Genomic DNA, 18,175 nt, shown 5'->3' with positions numbered 1-18,175 from the left:
ACCTAATAGATAATTTTATTACATACTCTTAACCCTATGAGATACACATTATTACTATCAACTGTTTTACAGATGACCAGCTAGTAGGGCAGAGAGCTTAAGTCTGTCCATGGGGCCACATGACTTCTAAGAGGCAGAAGCCAGCCTGCCTGGTTCCATCTCCTGGCCTGATTCTTGGGTAGCACTGCCGCTGTCTGGAACAGAGAAAAAAACATGGCATGTTCTTCTCTCTCTCAGGATAGTATCCATCAGGGAGGTTATCTGACTTCTTTGTTTTTGTTTTTGAGACGGAGTTTTGCTCTGTTGCCCAGGCTGGAGTGCAATGGCGCGATCTTGGCTCACAACAACCTCCGCCTCCCGGGTTCAAGTGATTCTCCTGCCTCAGCCTCCTGAGTAGCTAGGATTACAGGCTCCCACTGCCATGGCTAATTTTTGTATTTTTAGTAGGGACAGGGTTTCACCATGTTGGCCAGGCTGGTCTTGAGCTCCTGACCTCAGGTGATCTGCCCGCCTCAGCCTCCCAAAGTGCTGGGATTACAGGTGTGAGCCACCACACCCGGCCCATCTGACTTCTAGGGAAATTAGGCTCAAGATAATCAGTGGTAAGAAGTGGCGTTTGCTAAGAGAACTTGACCTTGATATTCAGACAAACATCCTTCAAGGAATAATCTATGAGCTAGAGAAAGAGTAGTCTGTGAACCAAAGACCATCAGGTGACTGGGGCAGTGAAACAAAGAGCTATTGCTGTGCGTGTCCCAGCTGCCAAGCTGCTGAGCCTTAAGTAACCAGTGTGCTATTTCTTTGCACCATAATTATTCAGAATAGGACACCCTCCCCAGCCTGGATGCCAATTTCAGCAGGCCTGAGATTTTTCTGCTCATGCTTAGAATAGTCTGTGGTTGCTTTTAGTTGCAAACGCAGTCTCAAGCCAGAAATTGGAACTTTAATGTGAGGTATTCATCAAAACTCTGAGCTTATTTTTACCTTACATCCTTCTCTCTTCCCCCAGCTTGTGCCTGGCCAGCTGGGAACCTCCAGTGGACACAATGGAGAGGGCTTTGTCTTCTCTCTCGTTCCACTTGGCCTCCCCGAGCCAGTTACCATAGAATTGGCTTCAGACTGTCTTGGCAGGCAGATGTTAAATTTTGCCTCTTTTTCATGGAGTGATTTTACACCCCCTCCACTCAAGTTACCGGCTGAGTGCCGCCTCAGCCTTTCTCCCAAAATCCTCTTTTATCTATGGATGTGTCTCAAGTCCAATCTCATTTCGGGTGGTCATCTGAGACCCCATCCTCAGCCCATGGGCATTCAGTTCCAACCTTCTCCCGCTAGGATCCCTCTACATAGACTCAAGACAGGGAGTCCTTGCAGGCTCTCTCTGCCACAGGACCTACGTCTGTTCAGAAGAAACTCTCCTGCCTCCCTACCCCAGAAAAAACTCTGAGGGTGCAGGCTGGTCCCAGTGAGGTGGCAGCAGCCCCACCAGAGCAGCTGGTGAGCCCTCCTGTCACCTTCCAGATTTCCCAGGTGAAACTAGACCCCAGGCCACCCCGCTCCCCAGTTGTAGGGGTCTCATGTTAGGCTCTGTTTTTTCTTTTTCTTTTTTGAGACGGAGTCTCACTCTGTCATCCGGGCTGGAGTGCAGTGGCGCAATCTCAGCTCACTGCAACCTCCGCCTCCTGGGTTCAAGTGATTCTCCTGCCTCAGCCTCCCGAGTAGCTGGGATTACAGGTGCCTGCCACCATGCCCAGCTGATTTTTTTATTTTTAGTAGAGATGGGGTTTCACCATGTTGGCCAGGCTGGTCTAGAATTCCTGACCTCATGATCCGCCTGGCTTGGCCTCCCAAAGTGCTGGGATTACAGGCGTGTGCCACCGCACCTAGCTAATTTTTGTATTTTTAGTACCGATGGGGTTTCACCATGTTGGCCAGGCTGGTCTCGAACTCCTGACCTCATGATCTGCCCGGCTTGGCCTCCCAAAGTGCTAGGATTACAGGTGTGAGCCACCACACCTGGCCTCATGTTAGACTCTTAAAGAAGCTGCCCCACAGACACTCACCCTTACCAAGTGTGAGGTAAGGGAGCAGGAGCTCACCTGTCCCCAGGATGGGACTCACAGCACAGCTTTCTTCAAGGACGTCCGCCATACAACATCCTCCCATCACCTGTCTGTCTACATTTTCAGTGTCTCAAAGTGGGAAAGGGGTTTCAAAGTCTTGGATCAGATTTTTTGGCATTTCCATAGAAAATCTTCCATAAGGTGACTCGGGCTCTCACTTTGGATCTTCACATCTATGGTGCATATTAGTGTCTAGTGGAAATTTTAAGGCCCTATTATTCTATTTATATGCATTGACCTTTTTATCTTCATAAGCTCAGACAACATTTTCCATTTTTAAGATGAGAATAATTCATCTCTGAGGGCCCAGAGAGGTAAGGCCAAGGTCACCCAACTGGCCAGTGATGAAGCTGGGATTCCAACCAGGTCTATCTGGCATCCTCTGGGAGGTGCATGCTCAAGCCCAAGAATCTGAGGACACATAGAGAAGTGTGTCTCTCGCTTGAGGGCCCAGACCCTGGGTGACTATGAGAGGCTCCGTGCTACTTAGAGCTGATCTATGTCAGCTCCTATGGCTTGTCATTGCCCACTTCCCCACAGGACACGTTCTGGGACCTAGTTTCAGAGAGCGGGCTGGGAAGACGAGATCGATAATTCTGCCCTTCTGGCAAGAGCCCCATCTGGATGTGACTTTCAGCTCAAAAGAGTGCGCCAGGACGGCTGACTCACCTGGTCTAGCATCCAAGCCAAACACTGGGAGGAAAGGGCTCAGTTCAGCCAAGACTGTGACTGCAGAAGAACGGGGATCCTGCGCTGGGATCCCAGCCATGCCCTCGCCTTGGTGTTTTCTCAGTCTGTGTGGGCCTCCTTTTCTCCATAACTTCTGCGAGCTATGGTAGCAAGGCATGCCAGGGCTTCCACAGGTGGTCCAGTGCCACACAGGAAGGTGTTGAGAGGTGCGAGATGGAGCAACTGACTCAGCTGGTCCCTGCAAGAGGGGGAGGATGTGGCACTGGCCAGCTCCCAAGATGGGCTGCGTTTGGTCTCCAGGGAGGTCCAGTCTGGTGGGCATTTCCAACATAAGCGGTTGGGCAAGAAGCCAGGGTCCATCCACAATGGAATGTCCACCAAACATCCTGATGCGCAGCAAACACTGAATGAAATGGAAAAAGATTTACAAGATTTACAATACATTATTAAGATTTACAATACATTATTAAGATTTACAATACATTATTAAGTGAAGGGCCTGGACAGCAGGAGCCCATCTTCATCAAAGCAGTGATCTTGCTTCTGGAGAACAGGCCTGAAAGGTAAAGGCGCAGCCTGGGTGCTTGGCTCCATCGATTCCTGTGGGTTCTTCGAAGGGTCAAAGAGGGTCCCAAGGCTGACCCACAGGTATGGGGGCAGGACAAAGTCCAGCCCCTTCCCCTTCTTGCAGTCATAGCCACTCACCTCCATCTCTCCTATATCCTCTCTCAGGGACCTGCGGGCTGGTCTTCTACATGCTCTAAACACAAAGGGAGTCTTCATACCCCACACCATTTTCCTCAGACAACTGGGCCACTCACTGGGCACCCATCTGCTACATGCTCCCCTCAGTGATGCCAGGAGGCCCTACTCCCACCCCACCCCCAGCTTCTGGGTCTGTTTATTTTGACTCTTAACCTCTCCATCAGAAGGAAGGACTGACCTCTCTCTGTTATGCATATACACTTGCATATGGATTCTTAAAGAAAGTTCTGGAAAGAGGCCTGGCATGGTGGCTCGTGCCTGTAATCCCAGAACTTTGGGAAGCCAAGGCGGGTGGATCACCTGAGGTCAGCAGTTCGAGACCAGCCTGTCCAACATTGTGAAACCCCATCTCTACTAAAAATACAAAATTAGCCCGTGTGGTGGCACGTGCCTGTAATCCCAGCTACTCGGGAGTCTGAGACAGGAGAATCGCTTGAACTGGGGAGGTGGAGGCTTCAGTGAGCCAGGATCTTGCCACTGCACTCCAGCGTGGGTAAGACAGAGCAAGACTCTATCTCGGAAAAAAAAAAGTTCTGGAAAGAAACACAGCAAAATGTTAAGAGTGGTTGTGACAAGGGATTGATATTAAAATACTCTTGTTTTCTTTTATCACTACCTGTGTTTTCTACAATAAATGTGTTCCTTCTCTACGTTACCAAAGAAATCAAACCCATTGCCCTGAACTGCCTCAAATTCCTACTGCTTTCTCCCCCTCCCTCCCTGAAGTCCACAACCGTCTCTGAACCCACATCCATCCCTCCCTCTAGAATCAGAGCCTGAGGCAAACTCTCCATCTGTGTTCTCACTGCCTCTCACCGTGTCCTTGCTCTACCTGCTATGTAAAACTCATCTCCGAATACATCGCAGAGTTGTCAGGAGTAAGACTTGTGAATTCTTCATGTAGTACCTTATCAATACAAAGAGCTCGGCTGGGCACAGTGGCTCATGCCTGTAATCCCAGCACTTTGGGAGGCCGAGGTGGGCAGATCACCTGAGGTCAGGAGTTCAAGACCAGCCTGGCCAACATGGTGAAACCCCATCTCTACTAAAAAAAAATACAAAAATTAGCCGGGCATGGTGGTGTGCACCTGTAGTCCCAGCTACTTGGGAAGCTGAGGCAGGAGAATCGCTTGAACCCGGGAGGCAGAGGCTGCAGTGAGCCAAGATCACACCACTGCACTCCAGCCTGGGTGACAGGGTGAGACTTCATCTCAAAAAAAAAAAAGAAAAAGAAAAGAGAAAGAGCTCAATACATGGTAATGATGGTAATTACTTCACTTCTCAGTGCCTCTGTTTCCTCAACTGTAAAATTAGGTGATTACAGCACCTACCTCATAGGATTGTTAGAAAGAATAAATGAGGCTGGGTGCTGTGGCTCACGCCTGTAATTCCAGCACTTTGGGAGGCTGAGGCAGGTAGATTGCTTGAGGTCAGGAGTTTGAGACCAGCCTGGCCAACATAGTGAAACCCTGTCTCTACTAAACATACAAAAATTAAGCCGGGCGCGGTGGCTCACGCCTGTAATCCCAGCACTTTCGGAGGCCAAGGTGGGCAGATCACCTGAGGTCGGGAGTTCGAGACCAGCCTGACCAACATGGAGAAACCCTGTCTCTACTAAAAATACAATATCAGTTGGGCGTGGTGGCACATGCCTGTAATCTCAGCTACTTGGGAAGCTGAAGCGGGAGAATCACTTGAACCCAGGAGGCAGAGGTTGTGGTGAGCTGAGATGGCACCATTGCACTCCAGTCTGGGCAACAAGAGTGAAGCCTCTGTCTCAAAAAAAAATTAATAATAATACAAAAATTAGCCAGGCATGGTGGCAGGCACCTGTAATCCCAGCTACTCAGGAGGCTGAGGCACAAGAATCCCTTGACCTTGGAGGCAGAGGTTGCAGTGAGCTGAGATTGAACCACTGCACTCCAGTCTGGGCAACAGAGCAAGATTCTGTCTCAAAAAAAAAAAAGATTAAATGAGCCAAATGTATGTTAAGTACTTAGAAAAGCTCTCAGCACATAGAAGGGGCTCTGTAAGTGTTTGCTAGCACCAGTATTAGCAGGACTAATCAGTATTGCTGGTATTTGTACATTCTTCCATTTCCTCCAAAACCTTATTCATCCATTATCTCCCCTTTCTCCCACAATTTTTTTTTTTTTTAGAGATAGGGGTCTCACTGTGTTGCCCAGGTTGGTCCCAAACTCCTGGCCTCAAGTGATTCTCCTGGTTTGGCCTCACAAAGTGCTGGGATTACAGGCATGAGCCACCATACCTGGCCTCTCCCACAATTAAATCTGTCTTCAGATTCCTTCTCTTAGTTTATTGAGTCAACTATTTCCTATCCCCCAAATCCACCCCATGATCTCATCGGCCAACCTGTCTCCACCCCTCAAGGCTAGGCATCTGAAAAAAAGTGGGTTTCGAGATTCAGTCTAGCACATTTACTTGGATTTAGCTCACCACCACTGATGACACAGCACAACCTGTTTCTCCTCCCACTTCTCTAATGAAACTCTTCCAGCAAAGGCCACAAGTGACCGCCATTTGCCAAATTCAAAGGACACTTCAGTTTTTATATTTCTTGATCTTTTTTCCTTATCTGACCCCACTGAACTCACTCTCTCCTGAAGCTTTCTTTCCTTGCCTCTCCTGTTCTTCTCCTACTTCTTTGGATTCTCATCTCAGCCTCCTCACCTGAGTTATTTCCCTCTGCCCAGTCCTTACATGTTGATGCTCCCCACGACTCTGTCAGCAGCCTCCTCCTCTCCTCATCCTCCCCACTCTCCCTGGAGAAGCTTATGGATTACCATGCTACTTATCACCTTTCTCCTATAACAATAGAGTTTCCATTTCTAGCCCCAGCTTCTCTCGCAAGCACTAGACCCACATATCCTAGTACAAGCTGGATGTTTACACCTGGAGGTCTCACAGCCCTGTCTAAAATTAGACTGCACTTATCCTCCTAAACGTGCATGTCCTTCTGGGCTCCCTACCTAGATGGTGATGCCATCAACGCCATCCTTCTACTGGGAGGCTCACAAAACATCCTGGACTTCTTCCTCTAATCATGCCTGAAGTCCAGCTGAGCTAATTTCCCTACCTTTGCTTAAACCCATCTGCTTCTTTCCATACAAGTCCATGTCAGATGCAGGCAGTCAAAGAATTGTCTCAGAGTTCATATCCATCCTCCTCCTTTCCTTCTTTCTTTTGCATTTCCCTCTTTCTCCATTCACTCAGTCAGTCAACAAACACAGGTTGAACATCTATACCATGCTAGGCCCTAGAAATATAAAGAGCAAAAAAAGACAATGCCCCTAAGGTCAGGGAGTTCACAATATAGCAGGACAGGGATGTCAAGAACCCTAGAATCATGAAATTTGCACACACAAGGAGCTCAGAGGCCATTCTTTCTTAACTAAGTTACATAAATCTGGATTGTTATTCCTTTTACAATATTTCAAACAAAAAAGTAAAGACACTAACATATCTGACACCCAAGCACCCAACACCCAGCTCTATGGAATTCTGACATTTATCTTTCTCCTGTATGTTTATACTATATAAAATATATGTAACTACATACCCATTACGTTTTCAAACTATATATAAAATGTATCACATTCTGTATGTCATTTTACAAAGTGATACAAAGTGATTTTTTGCTCAACTTTATGTTTTTGAGGTTAGCCACATTTGGATTTCTTCCTTTCCAATTCTTATACCATTTTTCTTATATTATTGCATAGGCTAGGTTCTCCAATGTGGAAAAGACGTGATGAGAACAGCCATCCTTGTTTTACTCCTGAGTTTAAAAGAATGCTTCTGGGCTGGGCGTGGTGGCTCACACCTGTAATCCCAGCACTTCAGAAGGCCAAGGCAGGCAGATCACCTGAGGTCAGGAGTTCAAGACCAGCCTGGCCAATGTGGTGAAACCCCATCTCTACTAAAAATACAAAAACTAGCCAGGTTTGGTGGTGGGTGCCTGTGGTCTCAGCTACTCAGGAGGCTGAGGCAGGAGAATCACTTGAACCCAGGAGGCAAAAGTTACAGTGAGCTGAGATGGCACCACTGCACTCCAGCCTGGGCGACAGAGCAAGACTACATCTCAAAAAAAAAAAAAAAAAAAAGATTTGTGCCATTTGAGTTTGTTTGCTGGTGATTTTTGGTAGATAACCCTTATCATGTTCAAAAAGCTTCCTTTTATTCCAAATTTGGTTAAGTTTTACCATGAATGGATATAATTTTTTATCACATGAATTTTCTGCATCTATTAAGATGATCAATATTTTCTCCTTTAATTTTTTAATATGGTGAGTAGTATTCATAAATTAAGTTAAACATTCTTACATTCTAGTATTAAACTCTAAAAATAGGCTAGTTAATTCATTTTGCTCATATTTTATTTATGACTTTTGTATTTATGTTCATAAGTGAGTGTATCAGTTCTCTATTACTATTGAAATAACAATAACTGATTGAAACAACAATAAAATATGCTGGGAGTGGTGACACATACCTCTAGTCCCAGCTACTCAGGTGGCTGAGGCAGGAGGATCGCTTGCACCCAGGAGGTCAAGGCTGCAGTGAGCCACGATTGTGCCACTGCACTCCAGCCTGGGCGACAGAGTGAGATCCTATCTCAAAAATAATAACAATAATAACAATAATAAACAGGTGGAAGCTGCAATGTCTGTCATCACTTAAGCTGAGATGTCACACACCATTATTTTCTGCACCACCCTACCGGTTACACAGATCAGCCCTATTCATTGTGGAAAGGTGTGACACAAGGGCATGAGCACCAGGAGGTGAGGATCACTGGGGCCAGACCAGAAGCTGGCTCCCACATAAGCCCTGCAGAGTTATTTGAGTTCTAAAAAAACATGAATATGTATATCTTTAATAAAAATGAGAAGTTTAAATGAGTTTTTGGCCAGTCATGGTGGCTCATGCCTGTAAATCCCAGCACTTTGGGAGGCCGAGGAGGGTGGATCACCTGAGGTCAGAAGTTCAAGAACAGCCTGACAAACATGGTGAAACCCCATCTCTACTAAAAATGCAAAAATTAGGCCAGGCACTGTGGCTCACGCCTGTAATGCCAGCACTTTGGGAGGCCAAGGCGGGCGGATCACGAGGTCAGGAGTTTGAGACCATCCTGGCCAACATGGTGAAACCCCGTCTATACTAAAAATACAAAAATTAGCTGGGCATGGTGGTGCGTGCCTATAGTCCCAGCTACTCGGGAGGCTGAGACAGGAGAATTCCTTGAACCCAGGAGGCGGAGGTTGCAGTGAGCCGAGATAGCACCACTGCACTCCTGCCTGGAGACAGAGCAAGACATCGTCTCAAAAAAACAAAAAAAAAAAAAGCAAAAATTAGCCAGGCCTGTCCCAGCCACTCAGGAGGCCAAGGCATGAGAATTGCTTGAACTCGGGAGGCAGAGGTTGCAGTGAGCCGAGATCACAAAACTGCACACCAGCCTGGGTGACAGAGACTCGGTCTCAAAAATAAATAAATAAAAAATAAAGGAGTTTCTGTTGTAGTCAACACTCATTTAAATTTATCAACATGTTTTATCTATTTCTATGCTTAACAGTGTTTCATGTGCTCTCCCCTTTTTTTCTGGTTCATTTTTCTTCCTGAAGTGTATAACCTATAATAATTCTTTAAATGAGGGGCTGCACTTTACATGTATCGAAACGCCCCTTTTGTCTTAAATTTCCACTGTAAGTTAGCTGGGCATAAAAATCCAATTGGCACTTTGAAGATACTACCCCCTCATCCCCAGCCTCAGTCTTTGCTGAGGTCCAGAAATTACTTTTTAAGTAATCTGTCTTTTTCTCAGGTCCATGGTAAGGTTTTATTCTCTTTGCCCTTGATGTTCTGCAATTTCCCCAAGGAAATTTCTCAGCTACTATTTCCTCATGTATTTTTCACTGCCATTCCCTTTATTCTCTTCCTCTGAAACTCCTATTAGACATACATAGCCCTTCATGCAAGCTGTCCTTCATATCTCATAACTGCTTTTATATTTTTTAATCTTTGTGTATTGTATTCATGTTAATTCCTAAGTAATGTCTTCTAACTCAATAATTCTCTTTTTGCATCATTTATTCTGTCTACTGAGCTTTCTTTTAATGAACAAACTTTCTATTTCTAAGATTTCTAATTGATTCTTTTCACATCTACTTGTTCTAGTTTCATTTTGATCTGCCTTCATTTATGTCTTGTTAATTTCCAATGGATATTAAGCCTTCATTTGCCATTTTTGGCATCCTAAACATTTTTAATTCTTTGTAAGACTTTCACAAAATTAATTTAATCTGCAGTGAACTCATATTCCACATGGTGATTCTGTTGACTGCTTTTCTTTCTTGCTTTTTTTTTTTTCTAAAGATGGGATTTCACTATGTTGGCCAGGCTGGTCTTGAACTCCTGACCCCAGGTGATCCTCCCACCTTCACCTCCCAAAGTGCTGGGATTACAGGCACGAGCCACCACGCCCGGCCTTGTTGACTGTTTTTCTTACCATTGTTTCTCATCTATTTTGGCTTACAACTTTACAGTGAGTTGGAGGGTTTTCCACCTTGTTTTTACATCTGTTTTTCACTCTGTCTCTAACTATCCTGAGCTAGGACCTCAGGCCCAGTTGAGGTCTTACAATAGCATTGCAGGGCTCTACTCTGTTGTGGCATGAGGACACCACAGCTACAAGCACGTAGCCAGAGGGTGGCTTGGCTCAGCATCTAGTCAAGAGTCTGTCCTCATCTTCCCACAACTCAAGCCCCAAGCTATTTGTGGACAGCTGGCTTCCTCACTCCATCCCCGCCACCCCCGATTCTTTTCACAAGCAGAGGGAACCTTCCCCGAGCCCTGGCTTCCAGACACCTGGCTGTTGGCCCCTTTGTAGCATGGAGCACTTTAACTCCCTTACCAGGAGCTCTGTGTCTGGCAGCTACTGCTGTTTCCAGACCCCGAGGCCAGCAGGCCCCTGGCCCCAGTCACCAATTTGCATTTCTGATCTGCTTGTGGTACACAGAGATAGCCATTTTGGTTGGGGCCCAACTATGTCCTTTTGTTTATCATTTTTTCTATTTTATTCCTGATTGCTGTGTGTTTGGAACAGAGAGAGGAGGCCACAGCGTGAGCCCACTCTGCCGTCTTGGCTGGAAGTCCAGCACTGAATTGTGAGGCTGCCGTACCTGTAGAAAGTCCCATGTCTGCTTTCATTCAGGTAAAAGAGGAGAGATGGTTTCATTAAAATCCAATAGGCATTTTTTTTTTTTAAAGATGGAGTCTCACTCTGTTGCCCATGCTGGAGTGCAGTGGTGGGATCTTGGCTCACTGCAGCCTCCATCTCCCAGGTTCAAGCGATTCTCCTGCCTCAGCCTCCCAAGTAGCTGTGACGACAGGCATGCGCCACTACACCTGGCTAAGTTTTGTATTTTTAGTAGAGACAGGGTCTCACCATGTTGGCCACGCTGGTCTTGAATTCCTGACCTCAAATGATTTGCCCACCTTGGCCTCCCAAAGTGCTGAGATTACAGGTGTGAGCCACTGTCCCCAGCCCACTCAGGGGCTTTTATGCTTCACTATGAATTTCCTCTCAGGATAACAGACTGAGCCCGTGTGTTCCCCAGTCACACACACACACACACACACACACACACACACACACACGCTGAGGGTTATTCTTTGAAAGGGGAGGCCACGTCTGGGGGCGGTGGCTCACGCCTGTAATCTCAGCACTTCGGGAGGCCGAGGTGGGTGGATCACCTGAGGTCAGCAGTTCAAGACCAGCCTGGCCAACATGGTGAAACCCCGTCTCTACTAAAAATACAAAAATTAGCTGGGCGTGGTGGCGCATGCCTGTAATCCCAGCTACTTGGGAGGCTGAGGCAGGAGAATCGCTTGAACCTGGGAGGCAGAGGTTGCAGTGAGCCGAGACTGTGCCATTGCACTCTAGCCTGGGCAACAGAGTGAGACTCCATCTCAAAAAAAAAAAAAAAAAGAAAAAGAAAGAAAGAAAGAAAAGAAAGGGGCAGCCACGGGATGCAGACAAGGCCTGATCGCCACCACTCCTCCCTCCTCAGAGCAGAGCTGGGCCTGTGGGTAACCATGGGTAGCAGCTGGTGCTGGGTACCACGGAAGGCACGTGTGGGGTGAGGCTCCCCTTCAAACCGTTCCCAGGGGAGCGCCTCCCCCTGGTGGCCATCAGAGGAAGCAGCGGTGCTCTCTGCCAAGGACAAGGCCGCAAGGAGTGAAGATTTTCCACACACAGCCAATCGTGCAGACCTGGGACCTGTGGTCATGACACCGGCAGCCTAAAGGTCCTACTTAAATAGGGCCCAGGGCAGAATTCTGTCTATGATCTCCCCTGCTGTGCCGGGACACAGCCCACTCTGCTCAGGACTGTGTAGAGGCGGCTCCCTCCTGCCTGGCCCTTCTGAGCCTCAGAACATTGACTCCAGAGACCACTGGGTCCATAGATTCTTTGGATGGATTTTTAAACTTGAATGTCCAGACCCTTCTTGAGGCCACACAGAGGACTGAGGGAGGGCAGTCTGTGTAGGGGTCCAGGACATGGGTTTGAGGATTAGATAGACCTGAGTCCAAATCCCACTTGCCACTTGTTAGCTGTGTATCTCTAGGCAAGTTACTTAACCTCTTTGTGCCTCTGTTTCTTCATCTGTAAAATAAAGATAATAGTTGTATATACCTTAAGGGGTTGCTGTGAGAATAGAGCCAGATAACCAGGTCCCTCCTCCCTCTCCGCCCCCCGCCCATGGCCCCTGTTTTGGAGGTGCCTGGGCTCTTACTGCCTCTTCCTCTGCCCTTCCTGGAAACTGCGGGCTTCCATCAGCCTCCTCTGGGCCTTGGGCGACAGGGATGGGGGTCTTTTTTTTTTTTTTTTTTTTTTTTTGAGACAGAGTCAGTCTGTCACCCAAGCTGGAATGTGGTGGTGCGATCTTGGCTTGCTGCAATCTCTGCCTCCTGGGTTCAAGTGATTCTCCCGTCTCAGCCTCCAGAGTGGCTGGGACTACAGGCGTGTGCCACTATGCCTGGCTAATTTTTGTATTTTTAGTAAAGGTGGGATTTCACCATGTTGGCCAAGCTGGTCTCAAACTCCTGACCTCAGGTGATCCGCCCGCCTTGGCCTCCCAAAGTGCTGGGATTACATGCGTGAGCCACCGCTCCTGGTTGGGGGCATTTTTTGAGGAGGAGCCAGGCCCAGATGGAGTCACACTGCAGAGGCCTCACATGGGGGCCAAAGTCCTCAGGCCCTGAAGGTGTCCCAGAGAATCACAAACTCACAAACATACCCTCTGGCTGCTGGGGCCTGGGCTTCTCCTGTTTAATGATTTCCCACCCAGTGGCCCACAGGTCCTATACTCTCAGGGAACACACACAGAATTCTGGAGCCCCTGCCAGAGGCACAGTTCAAACACAGCAGAGCTGGGCCTGCAGCTGGTCTGTCAGTCACACTAAAGTTATGGCGCACCTGCTCTGTATTTAGCACTGGGGCTTCTAAGGGAAGGGATGTGTCTCTGCCTTCAAGGCATTCGCAGCACAGTGGGGAGACTGGCTGCAGAGCCCCCTGACATGACTCACAGGAGCCGCTCTAGTGAGACTCTGCAGGCACAGCCCGGGCCCAGATCAGGGTCCGCCCAGGAGAGTCAGGGACGGCACCCAGAAGAGGGGCTTCTGGCTGGGCACTTGAATGTGGAGTAAGAATTTGCCAGGCAGACAGACTTGATCGATTCATTCGATACGTTTTCATTCGACACCTGCCACCCTCCCTGCAGCTGCTGTTCTATGCACTAAGGATTCAGTGGTGAAGAAGAGTAAAGCAGTTCTTGCTGTCCAGACCTTGGCCTGGCACTCACTGCAGGCCCATGGTGCTCTCCTGTTGAACATAAACAGTTTCACAGAACATCAACATCAGACAAGGCCACTCTGTGGCTGTGATGGAACTAGACAGAAACAAGCCCAAACCCTACAAGTTCTTTCTGACACCCCCTCACTGATACGCCCACAGTGCCCCATGGCGTGCGTTCCCCTTCACTGCAACCAGCCATAAACCCCAAGTGCTCCACTATAGGTGGGATCCTGGTGGTCTTCGGGTGGAGGGCAATTGACAGTGATGGCTGAGAGGTAGGATTTGAGTGGAAATGTGGAGATTGAATGAAATGAAGGGCAAGCCATGCGGAAACGTCAGGGCGGAACATTCCAGGCAGACGGAACAGTCATCGTAAAGGCTCTGAGGATGGAATATGACAGGCAGATTTGAAACCTGCAAATATGCCAACCTAGCTGGAGCAGAAAAGGCAGAGCAGGTATTCCAGGCAGAGGGAAAAGACTGTGAAAACCTAATGTGAAGGAAAGTAGGCCCCTGCTGACACGTATGGGTAGTTCTGTGCAGTTGAAATAGAAAGTTAGGCCAGGCTCGGTGGCTCACGCATATAATCCCAGCACTTTGGGAGGCCAAGGCAGGCAGATCACCTGAGGTCAGGAACTCGAGAGCAGCCTGACCTATATGGTAAAACCCCGTCTCTACTAAAAACACAAAAATTAGCTGGGCATGGTGGCAGGCGCCTGTAGTCCCAGCTACTCGGGAGGCTGAGACAGGAGAATTGCTTGAACCCAGGGGGCGGAGGTTGCAGTGAGCCAAGATAGTGCCACAGCACTCCAGCCTGGGTGACAGAGAGAGACTCCCATCTCAAAAAAAAAAAAGAAAAAAAAAAAAGAAAGCTAATGTCATTTGTTTTGGAGAAGAAGGATGAGTACACAGGAAATATGCAATTAAGAGCCTTCATTGCCTCTCCTCAGAGATTCTTAGCAAAATCACCAAGAACCCAAATGCTCTGCCGGAGCCACCCATGATGGCATTTTCCTTTGATGTGGTAATAGAGTAAGCTGATCAATAGCCTCGGTAGTGAGGCCTACCGAAGGGAAATGCACTTGTTCGGGACAATTCCTTCATGTTATCACTAAGAGGGAAGAGAAAACAGATGGCAGTGCTCCTCACTTTCGGGTGACCCTGCCAGCCCACCCCACGGTTTTGCGTCTTCATGATCCATCTAGGGGAAAGCCTGCCCCTTTGGTTTAGGTCTAATAGGATTACCTAGGCCAAGTATCTGTGTGGTCCGATGTGATTTAGTAGTGAGAGAGATTGAATACATTTCATCACCAGCTGCAATTTATGCCCCGGAAAGAATACAAAAAAGAGTCTGCCTTCTAGTTGCTGGCAACATAAACTGGAAATTCCCTGCAGAGGCTCAAGGCTGCAGGTGTGAAGGAAGACACACACACACACACACACATATACACATACACCACACGCACATACATATACCCACACACCACACACACACATACATATACCCACACACCACACACACGCCACACACACACATATACACACACACCACACACACATACATATACCCACACACCACACACACACATACATATACCCACACACCACACACACGCCACACACACATACACACATGTGCGCCACAAACACACATGCCACACACACCACACACATACACACGTCACACACATACACACACACGCCACACACACACACATATACCACAAGCCACACACACACTCATGCCACACACACCACACACATGCCACACATACACGCGCGTGCCACAAACACACACTCACCACACACACCCCACACACACATACACGCCACACACACACATATACACACACATGCCACACACACACACACACACACACACACACACCCCACACCGGCATTGAGCTTTAACCCAAACCAAACCCAGTCATCTCAGGGTTCCTAACTGCTCAGCAATTACAGTTTCCCAGCGAGAAAGAACTAAAGGTCATGCAAGGTGATAGCTAAGCATTGTTCTAGCGTTGCCATTTAATAGGGGAAAAAAGTAAACGTTTTGAGTCTGTCCGTTTCTAGGTGTCCTGAAATTTGTTTCATTAAAATTAATAGAATCAAGTACAGTCTAGTCCAGGAGAGGAGTGAGCCCTGATTTAGGGCATAGCCCAAAAACGCCATTCACAAGGCTTCTATATTTTATCCTACTGCCAATGGGGCACCATGGAAGTATTTTGAACGGGAGGAAGACATAATCAGATTGAAATGCTAGAAGGATCTCTCCAGTAGCTTAACAGTGGTGGACTGGGCACGTACATTTATCCTCACTCCTTTCTGAAATTCTTTTTTTTTTTTTTAAGACAAAAAAATCCATAAGGAAAAAGAGAACTGAAGAGACATCGATAGCAACATTTTGAAACTGGAAAGCAGCTAGAAAAATGGCAACCAACGTATTAGAACCAAGAAAGCTCAATCCTGAACCATGAGGGAAGTAAACAGCCAATTTTCTTTAGACCCCAGACCCACAAATGGTTCAGGTATTGGTGGCACCAGGTCCTCTGAAAGCAGGGAAGAGGAGGCCGGTAAAGATGGAGCCAAAAACAGGACAACTGGGGATTGGCTCCTCCCCCCACCTCATCTTCTCCTGCTCCTTCACAGACTTGGGTGTTTTTCTTCTAAAAAAGTAAAATCGGGGGTCTCTGAACTAGCACATCAAGCAGAGTGAGGGCAGGGCCACCACACCAAAAATGGGATCAAACAGGAGTTACAAGTCGAAGACAGAAATATGCCCTGTCCCCAGCCTCTTCCCTGTCTTCTCCCCAACACTGGCAGCCAGGTCCCTAATCCCTGCCAGGACTGGAAGAGCCATCTGCAGGAACCTGACTAGCCCACAAAGAAAGCCCTAAAGACTCTGACATCCACACTCCTCATTAAGAAGCCTGGCCCAGCCCAGACCATTCTGCAGCAAAGCTTGCAACGAAGCATCCTCCCTTCATCCTCACATACACACTCAGGTAAGCAGGAAAGCAATCAGCTCTGTGAGTGGAAAGTGGTTGCCTATAGGAAGCAGTAAATTGGGGTGAGTGGGGGAGGGGTTGAAGAGGAAGGATGGGAAGAGGCTACTGTTTTTGGTAAAAAGTCATCTTGAGTTACTTGACTCTTTAAACTAGAACTGACTGGGCGTGGTGGCTCACACTGTAATCCCAGCACTTTGGGAGACCAAAGCAGGGGGATCACCTGAGGTCAGGAGTTCGAGACCAGCCTGGCCAAGATGGTGAAACCCCATCTCTACTAAAAATACAAAAATTAGCTGGGCGCGGTGGTGGACGCCTGTAATCCCAGCTACTAGGGAGGCTGAGGCAGGAGAATCACTTGAACCTGGGCGGTGGAGGTTGCAGTGAGCCAAGATTGTGCCATTGCACTCCAGCCTGGGTAACAGAGTGAGACCCTGTCTCAAAAAAGCAAAACAAAACAAAAAACTAGATGCATTTAAAGCTGTCATAAAAAAAAATAGATACCAAATGGAAAGAGAAAAATGTCTAGAAGAGATGGGGAGAGGGAGCACCATCAGAGCAAGAGGAATGAGGAACCTATTGCAGTGGTCCAGGACAGAGACCGCAAGGCCTCAACTGAGGCAGGGGCAATAGGAGGAAGAGGAGGTGGAAGTCAGAATAGCTCTGTGATGGTGAAGGTTATGCTTGAGCTTGACTGAGCTAAGAGGTGCCCAGATAGCTAAGAAAACATTACTGCTGGGTGTGCCTGTGAGGGTGTTTCTAAAAGAGATTAGCACTGGAATTAGTAGACTAAGCACGGAAGACCACCCTCACTAAGGTGGGTGGGTGTCATCCCCAGGGCCCAAATAGAACAAAAAGGTGGAAGAAGAACACATTTTCTTCCTCTCTCCTCTTGAGCTGGGACATCTTCCCCCACCCTCAGACATCAGAGCTCTTGGTTCTCAGATAGCTGAACTCAGACCTAATTACATCTCCAGCATTTCTGGGTCTCCAGCTTGCAGAGAGCAGACGGTGGGACTTCTTGACCTCCCACCTCCCTAATCACATGATCCAAGTCCCGTAATACGTAGTATATCTAATAATAGCTTGTACGGCCGGGCACAGTGGCTCACGCCTGTAATCCCAGCACTTTGGGAGGCTGAGGCGGGCAGATCACAAGGTCAGGAGTTCGAGACCAGCCTGGCCAATATGGTGAAACCCCATCTCTACTAAAAATACAAAAATTAGCCGGGAGTGATGGCACGCACCTGTAGTCCCAGCTACTCAGGAGGCTGAGGCAGGAGAATCGCTTGAACCTGAAAGATGGAGGTCGCAGTGAGCCAAGATCATACCACCACACTCCAGCCTGGGTGACAGAGCAAGACTCCATCTCAAATAATTAATAATAATAATAATAGGATGTACATATGTACCTCCTATTGGTCCTATTTCTCCGGAGAACCTTGGCAAATGCAAGCTCCATATATATGAGGCAGAACTGGCTGGACATAGTGACTAACTGACTGTGGGGGTGAAGGACGGGGGGACTCAAGGACGAGTCCCTGGCTTACAGCCTGGACACCTGGCTAGGGCTGTTCACCTGGTTTCAAAAGAGACTGACCCGTATGTCTCTTCCCACCAATCTCTTCCTCCTGACTTGTGACTTTTCCTTCCCCACGCCAGGTCTCTTATGCCATGACACACTTCTTGTCCCCCGTGTCTACCTGGTGCATGGGGCC

At 47.9% G+C, this 18,175-nt stretch overlaps 1 long non-coding RNA gene across 2 annotated transcripts in view, besides 1 other annotated feature; it reads right to left on the bottom strand.

Annotated features, from left to right (window-relative positions):
* Window positions 1-18,175, bottom strand: part of LINC02054 (long intergenic non-protein coding RNA 2054) — a 38,112-nt gene that overhangs the window by 9,844 nt on the left and 10,093 nt on the right. Inside the window, exons 2-3 of one of the 2 annotated variants that reach the window (NR_161199.1) lie at window positions 6,673-6,852; window positions 2,790-3,213 (exon numbers count right to left, since the gene is read on the bottom strand). This is a non-coding gene — a long non-coding RNA (long intergenic non-protein coding RNA 2054). The remainder of the gene's footprint in view (window positions 1-2,789; window positions 3,214-6,672; window positions 6,853-18,175) is intronic. The other variant, NR_161198.1, reaches the window with a different exon arrangement.
* Window positions 13,025-13,526: an enhancer, noted in NCBI's record as "H3K4me1 hESC enhancer chr3:184134067-184134568 (GRCh37/hg19 assembly coordinates)". NCBI's record gives its function as "activates a minimal SCP1, AML or CMV promoter by ChIP-STARR-seq in primed H9 embryonic stem cells {active_cell/tissue: H9 hESC(primed)}" and the evidence as "EXISTENCE:reporter gene assay evidence [ECO:0000049][PMID:30033119]".

The sequence above is a fragment of the Homo sapiens genome, chromosome 3 (genome assembly GCF_000001405.40).
Source record: "Homo sapiens chromosome 3, GRCh38.p14 Primary Assembly".
Classification (NCBI taxonomy): domain Eukaryota; kingdom Metazoa; phylum Chordata; class Mammalia; order Primates; family Hominidae; genus Homo; species Homo sapiens.
The sequence above is the reverse complement of the archived record's forward strand: the minus strand, read 5'-3'. Positions and strand labels throughout refer to the sequence as shown.